At 39.4% G+C, this 20,122-nt stretch overlaps 1 annotated feature.

The window, feature by feature from the left end:
- Window positions 16,204-16,718: an enhancer, noted in NCBI's record as "NANOG hESC enhancer chr18:49472122-49472636 (GRCh37/hg19 assembly coordinates)". NCBI's record gives its function as "activates a minimal SCP1, AML or CMV promoter by ChIP-STARR-seq in primed H9 embryonic stem cells {active_cell/tissue: H9 hESC(primed)}" and the evidence as "EXISTENCE:reporter gene assay evidence [ECO:0000049][PMID:30033119]".

A 20,122-nucleotide genomic window follows, 5' to 3' on the forward strand; every position in this document is an offset into this window, starting at 1 on the left:
CCCTGTGCTAGAGATCTGTGGAAATTTGAACTTGAGAGAAATGATTTAGGGTATCTGGCAGAAGAAATTGCTAAGGAGCAAAGTGTTCAAGAGGAAGCAGAGCATTAAAGTTTGGAAAATTTGCAGCCTGATGATGTGATAGAAAATAAAAACCCATTTTCTGAAGAAAAATTCAAGCCGGCTACAGAAATTTGCATAAGTAATGAGGAGCCAAATGTTAATCACTGAGACAATAGGGAAAATGTCTCCAGGGCATGTCAGAGGTCTTCACAGCAGCCCCTCCCATCACAGGCCCAGAGGCCTAGAGGGAAAAATGGTTTAGTGGGCTGGGGACAGGGCCTTCCTGCTTTGTGCAGTCTCAGGATTGGTGCCTGTGGCCCAGCCATGGCTAAAAGGGGCCAATATAGAGCTCAGTCCGTTGCTTCAGAGGGTGCAAGTCCCAAGCTTTGGTGGCTTCCATATGGTGTTGAGCCTGTGGTGCACAGAAGTCAAGAACTGAGATTTGAGAACCTCTGCCTAGATTTCAGAGGATGTATGGAAATGCCTGGAAGTCCAGGCAGAAGTTTGCTGCAGGGGTGGGGCCCTCATAGAGAACATCAGCTAGGGCAGTGTGAAGGGAAATGTGGGGTGCAAGCCCCAACACAGAGTCCCCACTGGGGCACTGCCTAGTGGATCTGTGAGAAGAGGGACACTGTCCTCCAGACCCCAGAATGGTAAATCCACTGACAGCCTGCACCATTTGCCTGGAAAAGCTGCAGACACTCAATGCCAGCCTGTGAAAGCAGCTGGTGGGGGGCAGAGGGTGCTGTATCCTGCTAAGCCACAGAGGCAGACCTGCCCAAGGCTGTGGGAACCCACCTTTTGCATCAGCATGACCTGGATGTAAGAGACAGAGTCAAAGGAGATCATTTTGGAGCTCTAAGATTTGACTGGCCTGCTGGATTTCAGACTTGCATGGGGCCTTCAACCCCTTCATTTTGGCCAATTTCTCCCACTTGGAAAGGATGCATTTACCCAATACCTGTACCCCCCATTGTATCTAGGAAGTAACTAACTTACTTTTGATTTTATAGGCTCATAGGTGGAAGAGACTTGCCTTGTCTCAGATGAGACTTTGGACTGTGGACTTTTTGAGTTAATGCTGAAATGAGTTAAGACTTTGGAGTCCTATTGGGAAGGAATGATTGGTTTTGAAATCTGAGGACATGAGATTTGAAAGGGATCGGGGCAGAATGATATGGTTTGACTGTGTCCCCACCCAAATCTCGTCTTGAATTAGTAGCTCCCATAATCCCCATGTGTCATGGGAGGGACCTGGTGGGTGGTAATTGAATCATGGGAGTGGATTTTTCCCATGCCATTCTTGTGATAGTGAATAAGTCTCACAAGATCTGGTTCTATAAAGGGGAGTTCCCCTGCACGTGCTCTCTTGCCTGCCCCCATGTAAGATGTGACTTTGCTCCTCATTTGCCTTCTGCCATGATTGTGAGTTCTTCTCAGCTCCATGTGGAACTGTGCATCAATTAAACCTCTTTTCTTTATAAATTACCCTGTCTTGGGTATGTATTTATTAACAGCATGAGAACAGACTAATACACTTGATATTTAACATTGCAGACTAGTTTTACCTATACTTGAATTTTATGTAAATGAAATCACACAGTATATATGCTTTCATATTGGGTTATTTGGTTCTACATTTTGTTTCTAGGAGTGGTCAGTTTTGTTGCATATTGCAACTCTTCATTAATTTTTATTGCTCTGTAGTATTCCATTTCATATATATATATTAGTTTATCCACTTTACTGTTAATGAAAATTTGATTATTTTCAACATTTGGCTGCTACAAATAATGATGACATGAACATTTCAGGTACCTATCTTTTGTTGTCCACGTGTATGTATTTTTCTTGATCATATATCTGAGAATAATATTTTTGAGTCATAAGGCATGAATGCATCTGAATGATTTTATTTGATAATGTCAAACTATTCACCAAAGTGATTGTTGAATGGGATTTAACAAAGCAAACTGTGGAAAAGACAATTGGAGACTGAAATATTTTCATGGTGAAGACACTGAGGCATGATGGAGCCTGGCAGGCTCCAAGACCTGTGAGTCTTTTAGGGTAGCTGGAGGTTCCAGCCTATGAGGGATGTATCAAGTGTAGGTAGGCACAAGAATATGGAAGGCCTTAATGACTTTCTAGGAAATCAGAATTTTATAAGTGATTGGAAATCATTAAAGAAGCTTGCATAGGGAAGCAATATGATCAGATCTGTGATTTGGGAAGAGGAGTCAGTTTGAAGTGTCTACTAAGTAAGGTCTTAGGAAGGAGAGGATGAGATTCTGAATCTGAATATTGAGAACGGAAATCAATATCCATCTAGGAAGTAGAATAGCTGAAGATAGCACTTGTCTCAGAGACAAGTGCTCTCTTTTTGCAGCTTAGGGCCCTTTTCCTGCTGAGTTCTGGGAGGTTTTGCCATACTTTTTCCCTTTCTTCTCTTTAACAGCCACAGGTATTGACTTCTTAAAAATAATTCCTTATATTCTCTCTTTTAGTAAGATTTTTATTCTAATAATAAGAACTACTGTGTGGTTTTAAGTAGCGATCAGGTGGGAAAAATTGACAATTTTATATTTGTAATAAATATTAGAGATAAGCAAGAAGTTACAAAGGAGCTGTTGGATTTAAATAGTTCTCTGTAAAAGATGCTGTCAGTTTAAAAGATGCCAAAAGAGTTTATAATTTCTTATCCGCACACCCAAATATTGGGATAAGCCCTGTCAATAGCTAGTGCTCTCTTTACAGTTTTAATAGAAAAGGCTTCACAATCTCAGGATAATTTGTATGAAACCATATTAACCACTGATCACCAGAAGATGAATTTAACCTGATTGTTTTATTATGGTATGAGCACACTGCTAAGGGGACCAGATGGGTCAACAAAGAAGTAGATAATTATGTGGCAAAGAATGAGTTCTGTCAATCAGTTTTTTTTTTTCTAGCCACGCCGAAAAATACATTAACAAACCCCTACAGTGTCAAAGGCTTGACATAACCCCTGTTTTTCAACATGATTCTGCCATTCTTTAACAGCTTTGGGGCTTGGGTCCAATTAGTTTCAGTCTTCCTGGTATGAGCTGAAACCTAGGCTGAGGCAATCACAATAAATACTTGGTAGACTCCAGAAGAATGATTGTATTCCCTAGCCACAAGCAATTAAGCACTAGATGTATTCCTTGTAAACCTTTGCAAATGCAATGAAAAACATGTTTTAAAAGACAAATAATTAAGTGGCTTCTTTCCTTTGGTGGCATTTAGGTAAGGGAAAATTAAAGCTTCTTGTTTCACCTAAGAGGAGAAGAGATTTTCTGCTATAAAAATTACGATGGCTTGCATACAACCTGCTGGTAATCTTTCAGAAATTATAGAGAATGGGATAGATGCCAGAAACCAGATGGGCAAATATCCTGAAATTTAAAAGGAGAAAAAGAATGTCTTTTACAAACTACTGGGGGAGAAACTTAATTTCAATTCCCTACCAACGTCTAGAATGTACTAATAAGAATTTCGATTCTTTTTTTTTAAAGAAAGAGTCTTGCTCTGTCACCCAGGCTAGAGTTCAGTGGCGCAATTTCGGCTCACTGCAACCTCTACCTCCTGGGTTCAAGTGATTCTCCTGCCTCAGCCTCTCGAGTAGCTGGGATTACAGGCACCCCTGCCATGCCTTGCTAATTTTTGTATTTTTAATAGAGAAGGGGTTTGCCATGTTGGCCAGGCTGGTCTCGAACTCCTGACCTCAGGTGACCCGCCTGCCTCGGCCTCCCAAAGTGTTGGGATTACAGGCATCAGCCACTAGCCAAGAATTTAGATTTAAAAGGGAACTAAGCAGACTTATTCTCTAATCCTCTCTAGTTACTCTTTCCCAGTCTCCTTTGGTTACCGTTCATCTTCAACTTGATCCACAGGTATCTTCCTTCCTTAGTACTCTATTTCATTTTATTGAAATATGCTCCCTGGAGCATCTTGCTACAAGTATGGCTTCACCCATGTCTATATGCCAGTAACCTCCACATTTAAACCTAGGGCCCAGATTCTTCTTCTGAGGTTCATGTATCAATTGATATAGAATTACCTGGGTATGATATTGGGTAACGAAAGTCAACTTAATCATTTGGCCAACATCCTTCCTATAAACAACTTATCCAACCCCAAATCTGTTACTCTTTCTATAATCCCTCTGTCTATATTCTAACCACTTGTGCCCCCAAGTCAGAAACACAGCAGTTATTTGTCACTTCTTCCTTCCTTTGCTCTATACATCTAGCTAATTATTAATTCCAGTCACTTATTCTAGCTGAAAATGTTCATATCTCTTTCTTCCTCTCAACCTCCACTGTAATTCAGACTCACCTCATAGTTTGACAAAAATTACTGCTCAGCCTCAGAAGTTATCTCCCATTTCTGGTAGGGCATCTTCTCTCTGATAGCCAAAATGGTTTATGCATGACATTTACCTTACTATGTCACTACCATGCCTAAGCATTGTCAGCATTTTTGTGTATTCAGAATAGAAGACAACATATTGGCATGCACATTTATTGGTTGCTCTTGCCTCTTTCTTCTAATTGAGGCACTTCTTTCCCCTTCCCTCTGTACTAGCCATTGCGTATAGGCATGGGAGAGGATGCCCTGGTAGTTGGGTATCAGAGTTTCCTCTAAATGTATACATTTCTTAATTCCTTGGAAAACTTAAAAATTAGACCTCTGTGTCTCATTGCAGACTGACAGAATTGAAGCACCTGGTCTTTCAGTCTATAACTTTGGCAAGTGTCCCACCTGATTTTGGTGCAGGTTTGCATTTGAGAACCACAGCTGTGATGGATAAGAGGGAGGTGGGAGGACATGTCTGTCTCCTAATGATCTTACGCTACATTAGGGAAGTTAACATGACTATACTTGCAAAAACTATGGTATAAGGTGAGGCAGATATTAGGAAACATGAGAAGAGACAGTAGGTTAGAATTTTGCTGTTGGAAGTTAAAGGCATTTGGACAATACTAAGGAACCACTTTTTGTCAAGGAAATCTTTCTGAAAATAAGGTCTTGGGCTAGCCTCTCTGAATTACATTTTTTACTCTGATAAAAATCTTAGAGAGCTTTTATTCCACAGGTTTGTCTTTTTAATATGTTACTTCAGCTTGCAAAATTGTACTCCACTTCTGAAGGGAAAAGCCTATCAAGATATTCAAAAACAATATCTTAGCATAGAAATGAGGGCTGATGGCTACAAGGCACAGAAGACAGGATAATGTGCATGCGGGGTGTCTCTAATACTAACTCTTAGCAAGGGCATGAGAGGCCGGGCATGGTGGCTCACGCCTGTAATCCCAGCACTTTGGGAGGTTGAGGTGGGAGGATCACTTGAGGTTAGGAGTTCAAGACCTGCCTGTCCAATATGGTAAAACCCCATCTCTACTGAAAAATAGGAAAATTAGCTGGGCATGGTGATGTGTGCCTGTGTACCTAACTACTTGAGAGGCTGAGGCAGGAGAATCACTTGAACCCAGAAGGGGGAGGTTGCTGGTGAGCCAAAATCATGCCACTGCACTCCAGCCCATGTGACAGAGCAAGATGCCATCTCAAAAGTAAAAAAAGAAAAAATAAATGACATGAAAGTAAGTGAGACTGCATACTCACTCAGTTCTCCTTATGGTCCTCTGCACACAATATGCTACTCCCAACTCTATGTCCTTAGTTATGCATGCATGCATCTCCCTATGCATTTCCTTAAATCTTACCTATCATTCAGACTGTACCTTGAAAAGCTCTGTGTACTCTGGCTCATCCTACTCTTTTTAGGATCTGAATTAGTGACCATTCCCACTCACAGTCATTGTCATCTCCTCCTTTTAACATTCACCAAGTGCTTGCTTTGTAACAAGCATTGGATTAAATGTTTACACAAAATGGGTAACTTAATCCTCATGATAATTCTGTAAATTCAGCAGCATTTTTATCTTCACTTTACACGTGAAGACAGAGAAATTTAAATTGCCTCCAGTGATAGGGCCTGCAAGTGGCAAAGTAGGGATTGGAGCCCAAGTCTCAACGGTTCCCGAGTCCAGGATGGAATAGTGCTGCCATTAGGTTCTTTGTAACTACTTCATTCATACCAGTTTCTTCTCCTTCCCCCAGATCACTGTAGTTTCCCCAGAGAAATGACTTAGTGGAGTGAGCTGATCATTGACTAGGAGTCCATGTGATGGTGCTTGTTCTCTTGCAGACTCATTCTCAGCACACCTCTGCCTACCTCTGTGCGCCAGGTGGTTGGTCTCTGTGAATCGCATCATCCAAACTCCTTTGAACTCTGTCTTCCTTCTGGTTGCATTTGGCCAACAGGAGTCAGGAGAATGGAGGAGAGAGAAGCCAGAGTATTTCTTCCCTGCTTCATCTCTGCTTTGGGGATGCTTGGCAATGATGGTATCTCTCTCTTTACTACTCAAAATTTGAGCAAGTATTCTCTTTCCATGGTTTCAGTTCTCAGTTGTTTCCAGTACTTTATTTCTTTCTCTTGTTCCCTTGGCCCTAGGGGTGGTAGCAGCTTCCCACCATTGCTAGCTTCTGGGTGCCTCATTCTCCTGGTTTGTTCCTATTTCTCACACTGCTGTTATTAATCACCTCTGCATTTGGAGCATCTGGGTTCATTCTGATTCTCGCCAGGAGACTACCTGATATACATAACAACTGGCTTTTACACGCAGCTCTGTACTAACCAGGCCAGCTTTTTCCTGTAGCCCCAGGCATATAAACCTGATTCTCCAACAAGACCATTCCCACTTGGATGCCCCATCAATGTTTTAAACTTAACATTTCCAAACCTGAAGGTATATGTTTCCACAAAGTCTATGTTTGACCCTATATTTCCTAGGCTGGTAGCTGAGTCATTTCAGTTAGAAACCTGTAAGTTATTCTAACCTCTTACTCCTTCATTTTCTCACAGTCAATGCTACTAAGTTCCTTAGTTTACATCCTTACTACAGTTCAAATCCACTTCTTCCTTTCTCTTTCCCAGATGCCACGGTTTCTGTTTAGATTCCCACTGTCTATCATTTGGACAATTAAATTGCAATAGCTTCTTAATTGGTTTCTTCAACTCCAGTCTTGCACATCAATGCTGCTGCCAGAGTGAGCTTTATTTTTAATTTAAAAAGCAAATAGATGTATATATTGGAAATTCAAATAATGTATTTACAAAGTTAAAAGTCTTCCCTCTTAACCTCAAAGCCATTCCATGGTGGTAACTACTAAATTTATTTTAGATATGATCATTTTTCTGTGTGTATAAATCATGTATACATACGAACACATGTAGACTTACTTAAAATGTTATTATACAATATGCAGTTTAACAATTTAGAAAACTATGGATGAGTTATTATTTTAAAACTAACATCTAATATTATCTCTTTTATTTCTTAAAACTCTTCTATAGCATCCTATCATTTTAGGATAAAGTCCAGGCACTTCTATATGATAGCGCCAAACCCTGCATGATGAAGCCCTTGTCGAATTCTCTGGCCTCATCTCTTCCTACATTCTTTTTCATCCTATGGTCCAGTCATATTGAAGTGCTAACTGCTTCCTAAAAACACCTGACTGTTTCAAGTCCTCTTTGCCTCTCTAATTTGTCTCTTTGCTAATTTGAGAATGTGTGTTTCTTCACTTAGTAGATTTTAAGCCTCTCAAGGAAAAAGCCATTGCTAGGAGGCTGGTTAATAATTTCTGACTTTTGAGACCTCTAGAACACATAGATCCTCTCTGATTGCCAGTTTCATTTTGATTGCCACCATCTCCTTATTTCTTAGCTTTGATTCCTAACCTAGTTAGTGGTTGTAAGCTAAGGAATCTTTATATTTGGAAGGCTGCATCCCTGAATGTCATGTGCCACCTTCTAAATGTTTTCACTGCTATAGATTTAGTTTAAAGTATCTACCTATTACAGGTTTTAGATGGTCATTTTCTATAACATCAATGCCAGAAAATAAAGATAATTAATTAGAATATTACACTTTACTTATCCCTTAAAATTTCTGATATAAAATAGGTTTTTAGACTTAGAAATGTTGCTATTGATCTCTGTTGTATCTTGAAAATAAATGTGTAGCATAGCAAACCAAAAAAAGAAAAGATAGGTAAATACAAGCAAAAATCATTGCTATTTATACCATAAATATTTTAAACTCAGGTGGCAAAAAGAAGAATGGACACATATAAACTGCTTCCCTTAAAATAGTCTTGGGAAAATAACCTAGGAGAACATGTACATTTCTGCCTTCTTTCAAAAATTAACATACAGAGTAGGAATAACTATGTAGATGATCAATTTAGTCTAATTCTGCTTTTTTTTTTTTTACTTCTAAGTTATTTTATTTTTTTAAATTAAATTAAATTAAATTTTAAGTGCTGGGATACATTTGCAGGACCTGCAGGGGTTTGTCACATATGTAAATGTGCACCATGGCAGTTTGCTGCACCTATCAACCCATCACCTAGGATTTAAGTCCCTCATGCTTTAGCTATTTATCCTGATACTTCCCTCCCTCCACCTTCCTGACAGGCCCCAGTGTGTGTTGTTTCCCTCCCTGTGTCCATGTGTTCTCATTGTTCAGCTCCCACTTATAAGTGAGAACATGTGGTGTTTAGTTTTCCGTTCCTGTGTTAGTTTGCTGAGGATAATGGCTTCCAGCTCCATCCATGTCCCTGCAAAGGACATGATCTTGTTCCTTTTTATGGTTGCATAGTATTCCATGATTTATATGTATCACATTTTCTTTATACAGTCTATCATTGATGGACATTTGGGTTGACTCCATGTCTTTGCTATTGTGAATAGTGCTGCAATGAAGATACATGTGCATGCATCTTTACAATATAATTATTTATATTCCTTTGGGTATATACCCAGTAATGAGATTGCTGGGTCAAATGGTATTTGTGGTTCTAGGTCTTGGAGGAATCACCACACTGTCTTCCACAATGGTTGAACTAATTTACTGAATCCTGCTTCTTAAATTGGAAGTAAATTTATCTGGCGGGGCAGCTTGGCATAACTCTGTAGCACTCATAACTTACTAATGTGGGAGTGCATATTGGAGTCATAGGAAGGTATTTTAAATTATTTTATTTAAATTTATAAAATTTAAAATTTATACTATAAATTTACAAGGAAATGTATCTGATATAGTTCTAAGAGTATGAAATATTTGAGAGTAATTAAAAATTTAATGCAGGTTAGTGGTAGTCCATGTCAATATTTGGAGCTGAGTTCTCCAAGTGAACACTGATCAAGAGATATTTGTAGGAGTTTTCACTCTCTAGGAATTTCTGTCTGTGAAAAAGAACAGTCAAAATGTCACCTATAAATACTTTAGGCAAAATTATTAGAAAAAATTTAGAATGCATACAATACACTTTCTAGAATGTTTTGTAGCAATAATACTCCAAAATCCATCTTACCAAGTGATACTTTCCTTAAAGTGAGAGGCACTGTTTGGATCTCAGGTGCACTCATGATATGTTTCTCTTGTTTGTTTCTTTGTGTGGACACAGTTGGTGAGACCATGCTTTTGAGCTATCCAGTCTTGATAGCGGCAGAGACTTTCTCCTGGGCTCACCATGGCAATAAAATAGGGAGTGAAAATAACCCTGAGGTATTAGCTTGTGAGAATTGTAATGAGTCTGCTCAGACCCTTGCAAAATTTTTTTCCCTTCTTTCATTTTTCACAGTTGTAAGTCCTTATTGTGCTAATGGATACAGGGGTCATAATATGATAAATATAGAAAGATACTGGCCAGATTGCAGTTAAACTTTAAGAGTAAGTAGAATCTAATCTTAGAGGTGTAAGGGAAGCCTTCCAGACAGTAGAAACAGCATGAGCAGAGGCAGGATGGTAGTAGAGAATTACCTGGTGAATGTATCACCATTACCTGTGAAAGAACAAAGAAGACAATGGCAACAAAGACGAGGAGACGTGGATGCTTGTTCTGCTGCACGATGTGCTATGTCATCCCACTTCCCTGGGCCTAACTATGTGGGTGAACTGTATGTGTATGGCTGTGGCTATGGTTTGGACATGGTTTGTTTGGTGCCAAGCCTCATGTTGAAATTTGATCACCAGTGTGGGAGGTGGGGTTTAGTGGGAGATGTTTGGATTGTGGGGATAGATCCCTTATAAATGGCTTGGTTTCATTCTTATGGGAGTAAGTGAGTTCTCATTCTTAGTTCCCGTGAGAACTGGTTGTTGAAAAGAGCCTGGTACCACCTCCTCTCTCCCTTGTTGCTTTTCTTACCATGTGATCTATGCACACATTGGCTTCTTTTCCTCCTTCTACCATGAATTGAAGCAGTCTGAAGCTCTCACCAGAAGACACTGGTGCCATGCATCTTGCATAGTCTAAAGAACTGTGAGTGAAAAAAACCTCTTTTCTTCATAAATTACCAGCCTCATGTATTCCTTTTTAGCAAAACAAATGGACTAAGACGGTACGTGTATTATATATACACATAAGGATTTGGAATTAAGGAGTTAAACTACTCCATATCTCAAGCTTTTTCCAGCTCTCACTTCTAGGAGCCATGTTACTTGAACTAAGATCTGTTGGGAATCCTATAGAATTGATGGTGATTATGATGACAATTCCTGTGTATAGTTAATGTTTCTGCCTAGAGAGAGGAGTGGTACGTGTGATCTTGGGTGCATAAGTATCTAGGTGGCCTTTACTCTCCATTTTACAAGGAACATACTTAGTGGTTTTGGCACAGCCTGTGTAGTAACTTCATGTTTGGTGGGTTTTGTTGTCTACGTGCTGGTTGCTCTCTCTGGATGCTGGAGGAACTTCTGTGTGTGATACCATTCTATGTGAACTTTGAAGTTAGGGAGGATAAGATGAAGAAAAGGAAGACTGGAAGTCCTAGATTATTTTTTCTGGGCCCGGCCTATATTGCTTTTTATACCATCAACATATGACATTGTCAACCAAAAGAAATTATGTCAAGTTTAAGAAGCCTCTGAAGTAGTGCTCTTAAATCCTGTCCATGACCCTGTCTTGTGCAAAACTTTAATCAATGTCTTGGAAATCTGTATAGAAAGTATGTTTATTATACTTCAGCTGCAAAAAGGTGGGAAAGATAAATGACATACATGTTCACCTATTACTTAATATTCACCCCACATTACTTAGACCATTTGCTAATAGCTGGCTGTCTAACTGCTCCCAGCCAACAGGCTATGGGCAACACACTTATGAAATGGTGTGAGATGCTCTAGTTCTCTTATGCTGTTGCGGTGATTGTGAAGGGCTCCTATTTTACAAGGTACAGCTACAAAGTACTGAAGCCAACCTCAACCTCGGCCTCTGAGTGACTGTGTAGAGGAGAGCCCTTTGCTGGCCTTGTTGAATAAACAGTGTGAGCAAAAAATAAACTTTGTTATTTTAAGTCACTGAGATTTCATGGTTATATATTACCATAGCCTAGACTTTCCTGACTAATACAGACAGGTAAAGAATATATGTTGCAAATAAATCCCTAAAGATCAGAGCACTTGGAAAACCCAGTAATCAGGCTGAAAGTAATTCGGGATGGTCAAGGAATAACTTGACTGACGGCAGTTCATGTGAAAAGTTATGATGGAGCAGGATGGCTAAAAAAGATAAATTACATCATGTCTGTAGTCTTCAAAAATTTGAGAAATATTGTCAGAGAAGTCATCTCATTCTAGGTTCCTCTAGAGGGCAGAAACAAGAGCAACACAGAAAAATTTTGAGAGCTATATAGACCCCATTTAACAAAGAAAATGTTATCAATGTGAGCTATTTATCAGTGGATAGAGACATCTTTGGAATGATGAGTTTAGGAATAGTCAAAATAGTCATGCTGAGGCCAGATATCTAAGAATCAGGGATGCTATATAACCAAATTCTTCAATATGTAAAATTTTTGTCTATAAAATAAATTGTGTTAAAAGTGTATCATTTTCTGTTAATAATGGTCATAATATCAGTACATGTATTTTGAGATATGACTTGTTTTATTATTTACTGAGAGGGGGCACTTGGCTTGTAACAACTTATCTACAATTTCATGCATCTCTTTGTGATGTGGTTTGAACACTCCCTGCTACCACAAAACAAAATTGTATCACTGATGATTTGGCTCAACTAAGTTACATAGGATCAAAAAGCTAGAGCAGTGGTTCCCATGTTTGGTCCAAAGATGGTGATGGCTGGTGCATAAACATCATCTGAGGATTTTAATACAAATACCAATTCACGGGCTTTGTCCCTGGAAAGTTTAATTTATAGGTTGGGTTTGGGGTCTGGAAATATGCACTTAAATAAGTTCTGCAGGTTATTCTGATGGGCAGTCTGGTTTGGGAGCTAGTGTTCTACCTGTTTCTCTGCTTTTGTGGGTGTTTCATTCTTTTAGGTTCGTTTTCATCTTCATTGCACAGAAAAAGTACCCTTTTAAAACTCCAAGTCTATCTTAATTGAACAAAAAGAAGGGGGATTTCTCTATGTGATGGTCAGTGGGGCTATGACAGATGGTAGCAGAAGCAACCATCCTAGCTCCAGAATTTGCATTGAGAAAGAGAGAGTCACAGAGGATGAGAGTCAGAACCTGCTTGGCCATCAGGTGCCTCCCCTCTTATCCTCCTCAGCATGTGAGATAGGCAAGGAACCTCCTTGGCTGCAGACGGAGGGATATTGGAAGCCATCTAGTCTAGCATCTTTTTCTAGCAAAAATTTTAAGGAATCAATTCAAAGTGACCACAGTCAGGCAGTGAGCCTGCATTGCACCTTCAGGGTATCATCAGGGGTTCCTCAATTGTCTTGTAATTTTGTGGCTCTTGTGGCATCTGACTGTGACTGAGTTCAGACCTGCCCAAGGCAGCATTTCCAGGAATGAGCTTCTGAAGGAGGGCCTGGCAAATTTCCCTTTCAGGGGAGACGGTAATCAGACACTCAGGGCCATGGCAGAGAACTCTTAGCAGAGTGAATACTGACTCTGAATCAGAGCCTTCTCCTCAGGCTCCTTTCCACATCTTGCCCTCTCTGCAAACATTAGCTGGGTTGAGTGTGAGGACTAAGGCTCTTCATATCAAAGTCTTTTCCCTGGATAGTAATTATTTATTTTTATTTTTTTGAGATGGAGTCTCACACTGTCACTGGGGCTGGAATGAAATGGCGCGATCTCGGCTCACTGCAGCATCCACCTCCCAGGTTCCAGTGATTCTCGTGCCTCAGCCTCCCAAGTAGCTGGGATTATAGGCTCCTGCCACCATGCCCAGCTAATTTTTTGTATTTTTAGTAAAGACAGGGTTTCACTATGTTGGCCAGGCTGGTGTCGAACACCTGACCTCGTGATCCACCCATCTCGGCCTCCCAAAGTGCTGGGATTACAGGCGTGAGCCACCACACCTGGCCGGTAATTATTTTTTAACAGGTTGAGGTAACTACATAGTCATTTGTGTCTGGGAATAAGTGTCCTGGCCTATTTTCAGTACATTTCTCTTTTCTATAATTGTCATACTCTTTAATGAGGCTTGAAACACTCAATTTCGTGACCTCTGTCTCAAAGACCCTGGTGTTCAGTGCCTATCAAGACAGTGTGAACCTCCTAAGAATGAAGGGTAGAATTCTGATGATCATCCCCCACCCCCAAATATTTTGTGGCTGAGTGTTAACACTGCTGTTGTATTTCCCTTCAGCTAAGACTGTCTCCATTGAATTCTTGTTGTAGCCTGGAATCAGTTCCAAAGTGTTAGCTAACTGGCGTGTCTGGGGAAGTAAATCAAAGGCCTCTAGTAAATTTTAACAGTCATATACCTAGGATCAGTTCAGCAACCTAGAAATTTGATTACAAGTTGAAAATAAACCAGCTACAGAAATACCTTACTTACTCATATCTGGAAGTCTGAACTTTTAGAAAACTTCTATGTTCTTTCCCTGAGTGCTTTCTTTCCCCCTTCCTGCCATTTTCCATTTTTGTGTACTTTCAGTGCCTAGTACAAATCTTTGTGTATTGACAGGACTCAGGTGGTAATTGTCCCTTCCCTTAGAATGAATGGATGGAGAGATGAACAAATAAACTCTCTAGAGTATTGTCAAGAGTCAGATTGCAATTCAAAGAAATGTTATGGGACAATATATATGCACTATCCATACATATAGTATGACCCCGTGTGCCTGGAACAGTACTGGTTTACAGCTTTGATATATTCATTGATGGCACCTCCATTCACTCACATATGTTGGGCAGTAAACATATAGTTACCCTATTCATATGCAATCTTTTCTGGTCCTTTATTAAGAGTTATTTATTCTTGTATTTAATTCAAATAATCTTGGCTAGATTTCTTTCTCATTTTGCAATAGATTAGCAAATTTTAAATAGCCAACAGGTGATAGAGAGGCTAGCCCTTCCTCTCAAGAAGCCTCTGGAAGGCAACACTATTTTATGGCATAAGTGAAGTTTGTTCTATAAGGCAGGGAACTAAGGGATCCACTAAAACAAGTTTTTTCTTTTCTTTTTTTTTTAAATTATTGCAATTAAAAAGGATTAGTGTTATCTGAAAAAAACTCATTCTCATTCTCATATATTCAGATAAAGTGAAATATTACTATAACATGCAACATTTATTCCTATGTACTGTGCACACCATATGTTGAGGGTGAATACATAGAAAATAAAGTGCTAACATTTGAGAGGATTGTAACATATAGTAAAAATGTGATTAACCATACTTCAGTTTATGAATACGATATTAACTATTTTTTTCTTTTTTACTGCCTTTTTGGGGAAAGAGACATGCCACGTGAAAAGAAATTGGTATTACCCATTTAGCTTAAAGAAGAATAAGTAAGTCTCCCTTGATTTCTTGAGATTGTTGTGGACTCAGCTTTCAAACTGTCTAGTTTCCAGCACACTTTCTCCTTTTCATTCTCTTGTGTGAGGCAAGGAGGCTTAGTGCTCAAAGATAAACCCAAGGACCTACAGCTTCCCAAACCACCAAGGAAGGGTTTATTTTCCTTCACTAGATTGTCCATTGAGATAGGATAATGGATTTAGTCATTATTTGAAGGATTTTCAGTATCAATCATTGAACTGGTTAATTCTGAGTTGAGCAGAAAATTCAGTTTACTGGGAGCCCTTCTTCCTAAATACCAACATGGGCCCCCAGTTCCCTAAGTGTTTTGGTCCAGTGTGATTTGCTGCTACTATGTATGCAGGATATACAGATAGTAGCTCTGTGGCTGGCAGTGGCTAAGCCATCCCACTCCAGTCAAGATGAACAGGGGAATTAGGGTAGTGTTTAGGTTAAAGTGTGTTGATACCACTTGGTGAAGATTTTGAATGGAAGGAAGACAAAAGACTTTCTTAGGTAATATGCTTTCACCTCTGCAAGTAGGGAAAAATCATATTTTGACCCTTGTTCTTTATACCAAAAAAGCCTTTTAACTTAGAAAAAGGAAACTTGAGGTGTGAGTTGTGTAGTTCACTCACTGTGCTTCAAGCAAGACATACATTTTACCCACTCAGTGCCAATGCAGAATGCATCTCTACCTCATTTTAGCTTATCTGAATCTTATCCTTCCTTCAAGGTCAAGTACAATTTCTGAATTCCCCCCACATTTAGCCTCCCTAGTCTACACAAAGCAGCACCGTCATTGTCTTCATCATCTTTTATTTATAGTTGGATTGGTGGTGGTGGTGTTTCTTTCTCATGACAGCCTTACAAATAGCATCAGCCCCCACTCTCTAAAATGATTTGAATGGGACCCTACCCAGAGGCAGCCACCAATGCTGAGCACTTCTCCTGGCCTCCTCTGGCCTAATGAGCCCTCGATTATTGTTTGGCATTATTAAATGTCAACAATAGGATGGCTCCCCTCTGGGAACTCAGTGAAAATGGCAAGAAATATAAGATTAGAATTGAGAAAACACAGAAAATAGCTTTTATTTATTGGCAGAGGGGAGGAAAAGCTCCTAAGCATCATCCCAGTGTTCCTCTTTATCATCTGCTGTAACTTCTCCTTTTTCCTCCTCGAGGGCAGCAGTTCTATCTTTGCACAATGTAACACATTAAAGCGACAAGTTTTATTTCAAAGGCAATATTAATAATGGAGTTAGAAAACACTTATTTGCTAATCATTTAAAAGGAAATTTAAGCTGCAAATTGTTTCCTGTTCACACTCCTCTTTAATGGCTTTCTCTGACTTTAAGGCTAGAGATTGTGAATCCAGTCCTATGAGGTTTATTTGGGGAAATGGAAGAAAACTAGAATTTATTGATTGAGCACTTCCTGTGTGCCAGGCCTAGAGGCAGGTGTTTACATTCCTCATCTGCTATCCTTTGAATGTGTCCCCTCTAAGATTCAAATGTTGTTAATGTGATGGTATTAAGAGCTAGGGCCATTAAGAGGTAATTAGGCCACAAGGGCTCCTGTTTTGTGAATGGGATTAGGTGCCCTTATAAGGGGGGTTGATGGAGGGAGTTTCTTCTCTTTTTGCCCTTCTGCCATGTGAGGACACAGTGTTTCTCCCCTCTGGAGGATGTAGCACTTTGGGCTTTGCCTTGGAAGCAGAGACCTGACTCTCAGAAGACACCTAACCTGCTTGTGTCGTAATCTTGGACTTCCCAGCCTCCAGAACTGGGAATTTTAAAAATCTGCTTTTTATGAATTACCCAGTATCAGCTACTTTGTTATGGCAGCAGAAAACAAACTAATTTATCGGTTCTCACAATCTCCTGGCAAAGGTATTGTTGGCCACATTTCATAGATGAGAAAATGGAGCAACAGGAGGAAAAGTAACTTATCTAAGATTACACCTGTGTAAGGGGCAGAGCTGGAATTTAAGTCTGAGGCAACTGCCCTGAAGCCTCCTGTTATGCAGACAGTGGGATATGATAGTGGGGTAGGGGGGATAGGCCAGAGGGCAGGAGGGGAAGTGAATGTTTGTCTTTGTACTGTTTTAGAATTTCTCCCTCTGCTGTCAGAGAAGAGAGGGGCCCGGGCATTTTTGTAGGGGTGGAGAGACAATGCAGGTTAGTGGCTCTATGACTGGGTTGTCTCTTAGGAAATGGGGATTTGAGAGAAGGACCAGTACCACCTCAGGATTCCAGAGACCTCACAGCCTATCTAGGCTCTGCCCCTGGCTTTCTCTGGAGTCTTGTTTCTTCACCTGTGAGATGGGGACACCAGCATGTGTCCTTCTCACTTCAGTGAGATTTGTTACTCTTATTACCTGACATACTCATTCATATTAAGGAATTAATTATCCATAATAATTTATTATAGCTCACTGAGGTATGTCTGTATTTTAAATATAGTAATTTGACTATTTCAATGTTTTATACTGAAAAAAGAAAAAGAATCTCTAAACATTGAAGAAAATTAACGCTCCTGACTGCTAAAGATATGCTTTTACATTCCCTTAGTTCTGATCACAAACTATGGCCCACGAAGCCTAAAATATTTGCTATCTGGCCCTTTACAGAAAGTGTTTGCTGCCCTCTGCCTTATGTCATTAACTTATCGTAATTACACCATGAGGGAGACATTGTACACACTATTCAGATAGAGGATAGGGAGCTGAGCTTTCTATTTTTTTTTAATACAAGTATAAAAGACAGGATTTAACCGCAGTCTGGTAATTCTAAAGCTTTCATTCATTCTACTAAACTGCACTGCAATAACCTGGAGTTCTTACAATGCAAAGTTACACATAGAGCAAGTACAAACAGAAAGGATCGGAGGGAGATCAGTGGGGGTGTCATTTGGGGTCAGGACATTCTGAGGGAGAGTTGGACAGTATTTTACCGTATAACCTTAGTGTGTCTCTACTATTCCCTGATTCTATACCCAGGGCAGATATTGCTAATTTATTAAAGCACTGTTTTTTGTTGAGTCAGGATGCAGCCACAGAATTCTCCTGAAGACAATCCTCCAAGCATAATATGTATAACATAACTAACATTTCTGACAAGCATGAATAGGGGATATTTGAGCATCTGCATGTAATAGAAGACTTTGAGGTAGTGATAGAAGAAACCATAAGAAAATGAGATAAAACCCTTATTTTCTAAATGAATCAAAAAATACATTTTTATTTATTTTATTAGCAAGAATTTCATCAAGAGGAATACATTCAGGAAATCCTCTTTGTCCAGCATATAGCTAAGAGCAGTGGGGGTATAGGAGGGTAGGAAACTGTCTAACATGGTGGTTGGGATCATGGGCTATGGAATCAAAATGTCTGTATCCAAATCCTAGCTATGCTACTCACTGTATGTGATGCTGGGCAAGTTTTACTTACCACATTGTTTCTTAGTTTTTCTCATCCAGTAAAATGGAAAAAATAAAAAACCTACTCTATGGTGTTATTGTGGAAATTAACTGAGTTGATTTCTGTAAAGCATGTAGGGCCACACCCGACATAGGGTAAGTGCTAACATAACTGTTATACTAGTATGGCATGGCTTTTAATGTGCTTAAAATCTAGTTCTCCATCCAAGACAAACATACAGAGAAACTAAGAGAAAACAGAAGATGATATAGTACAAGCCATGCTGAAGGTCTTTATTTTTCTGTGTTGTTTGCCTCTCAGCCCTGTTTCTTCTACCTCTAAAAGTCAAAGATAACGAAAACATTTGGAGTCACCATTTTCTGCATTTATGCATAATGCTGTTCCATTCCATTGAATTTTATCCTGTCATCTCATGGATTTCTCAATAACCCCCAAGACAATGCAGTCTCATTGGAAATCTTGCTGACCTGCAATTTGTCCTTTTTTTCTGCAGCTATAGCCAAATACACATTCTTGCCACTGTGGCAATTTGGAAAATAATTCATGTCACCCAAGTACTTTTCAATAATGTTGATTTACTAATGCATTTAGTCAGGTATAGTTAAGGTCTTATTGTGCCATAAAGCATCTGCAGTAAGGAGATACCTTTAAATATTCCAAATAATTCATTTCAAATTATGGGAACTGTTTGTGTTATAATACTCAGCTATAATACCCCAGAGATATCTTGGCAGTCACTAATGAGCTAAACTATCTTTTTAGCAATCTGCTAGAGAAGAAAAAACATTATATAACTTTAAAGAGTCATTATGTATGCCCTTATGATCTATGGCTTTGCATACAATTTTTAGAAATGGTGTTTTCTAAAGGAAGTTCATAGGAAAAATCAAATTTTAGTGCTACTCCTCACTGAGCAAACAGTCAACGATGAAATGACAATTTTCTCCTGTTGAAATTATAGAATTCTCTCCCACACTCTGTTTTATTTTTTAATCAGCAATTTTAAGTTGGCAGGTGGTGAATTGGTCTAGGGGTCACTGCAGTTGTACTGTTTTAGTGTGAAGAGATGAGTATTTTATGTGGCCACTAAATACACCCTTCCAGCCCTACTCCTAGAAAATGACTAAATTTTGTATCTACTAAACATGATCTCCTGAAGATGTAAGTTAAAGAATATGGAATCCAGCAGTTTATTATTTGTGATATTCTCCAGGTTGGATACCTATCCTACTATTTTTGCAAGCCAAGGCCTCTGACTCAAAAGGCTTCAGCTCATGTGAAATGCAAAAAACGGACAGCTATGATCAGTCTACACAGGACAGTAACACTCCTCGAATAACTCCTACCAACATGGGAATATCTACGGTTTGCAATGTCAAAAGAACTAAGTGGTGATGATTATAAGGAAGTTTTTCCCATTCTGGCTTATGATTTCAATTGAGCCAGTTTCACGTTAGCCCAACTCTCTTTCCCTCAGTTACTGATAGATGTGGAGAATTGTATAATTTCTGATGTTGAAATCTGACTCTAAAGGACAGTATCAGTCTTTGGGTGTGGCAAATTACATTAGTACCCATTAAGTATTTACTCCCTTCACCTGGCCTCTATGGGAGGGAGGCATATATTTACCCCATTGATTTTGGGTTTGGCCATGTGACTTGCTTTGGCCAATGAACTATAGACAAAAGTGACAGTTTTGAGCCAAAGCTTTAAAAGACTTTCCAGTTTCTGCTCAGCCTTC

This window comes from Homo sapiens, chromosome 18 (assembly GCF_000001405.40).
Source record: "Homo sapiens chromosome 18, GRCh38.p14 Primary Assembly".
Classification (NCBI taxonomy): domain Eukaryota; kingdom Metazoa; phylum Chordata; class Mammalia; order Primates; family Hominidae; genus Homo; species Homo sapiens.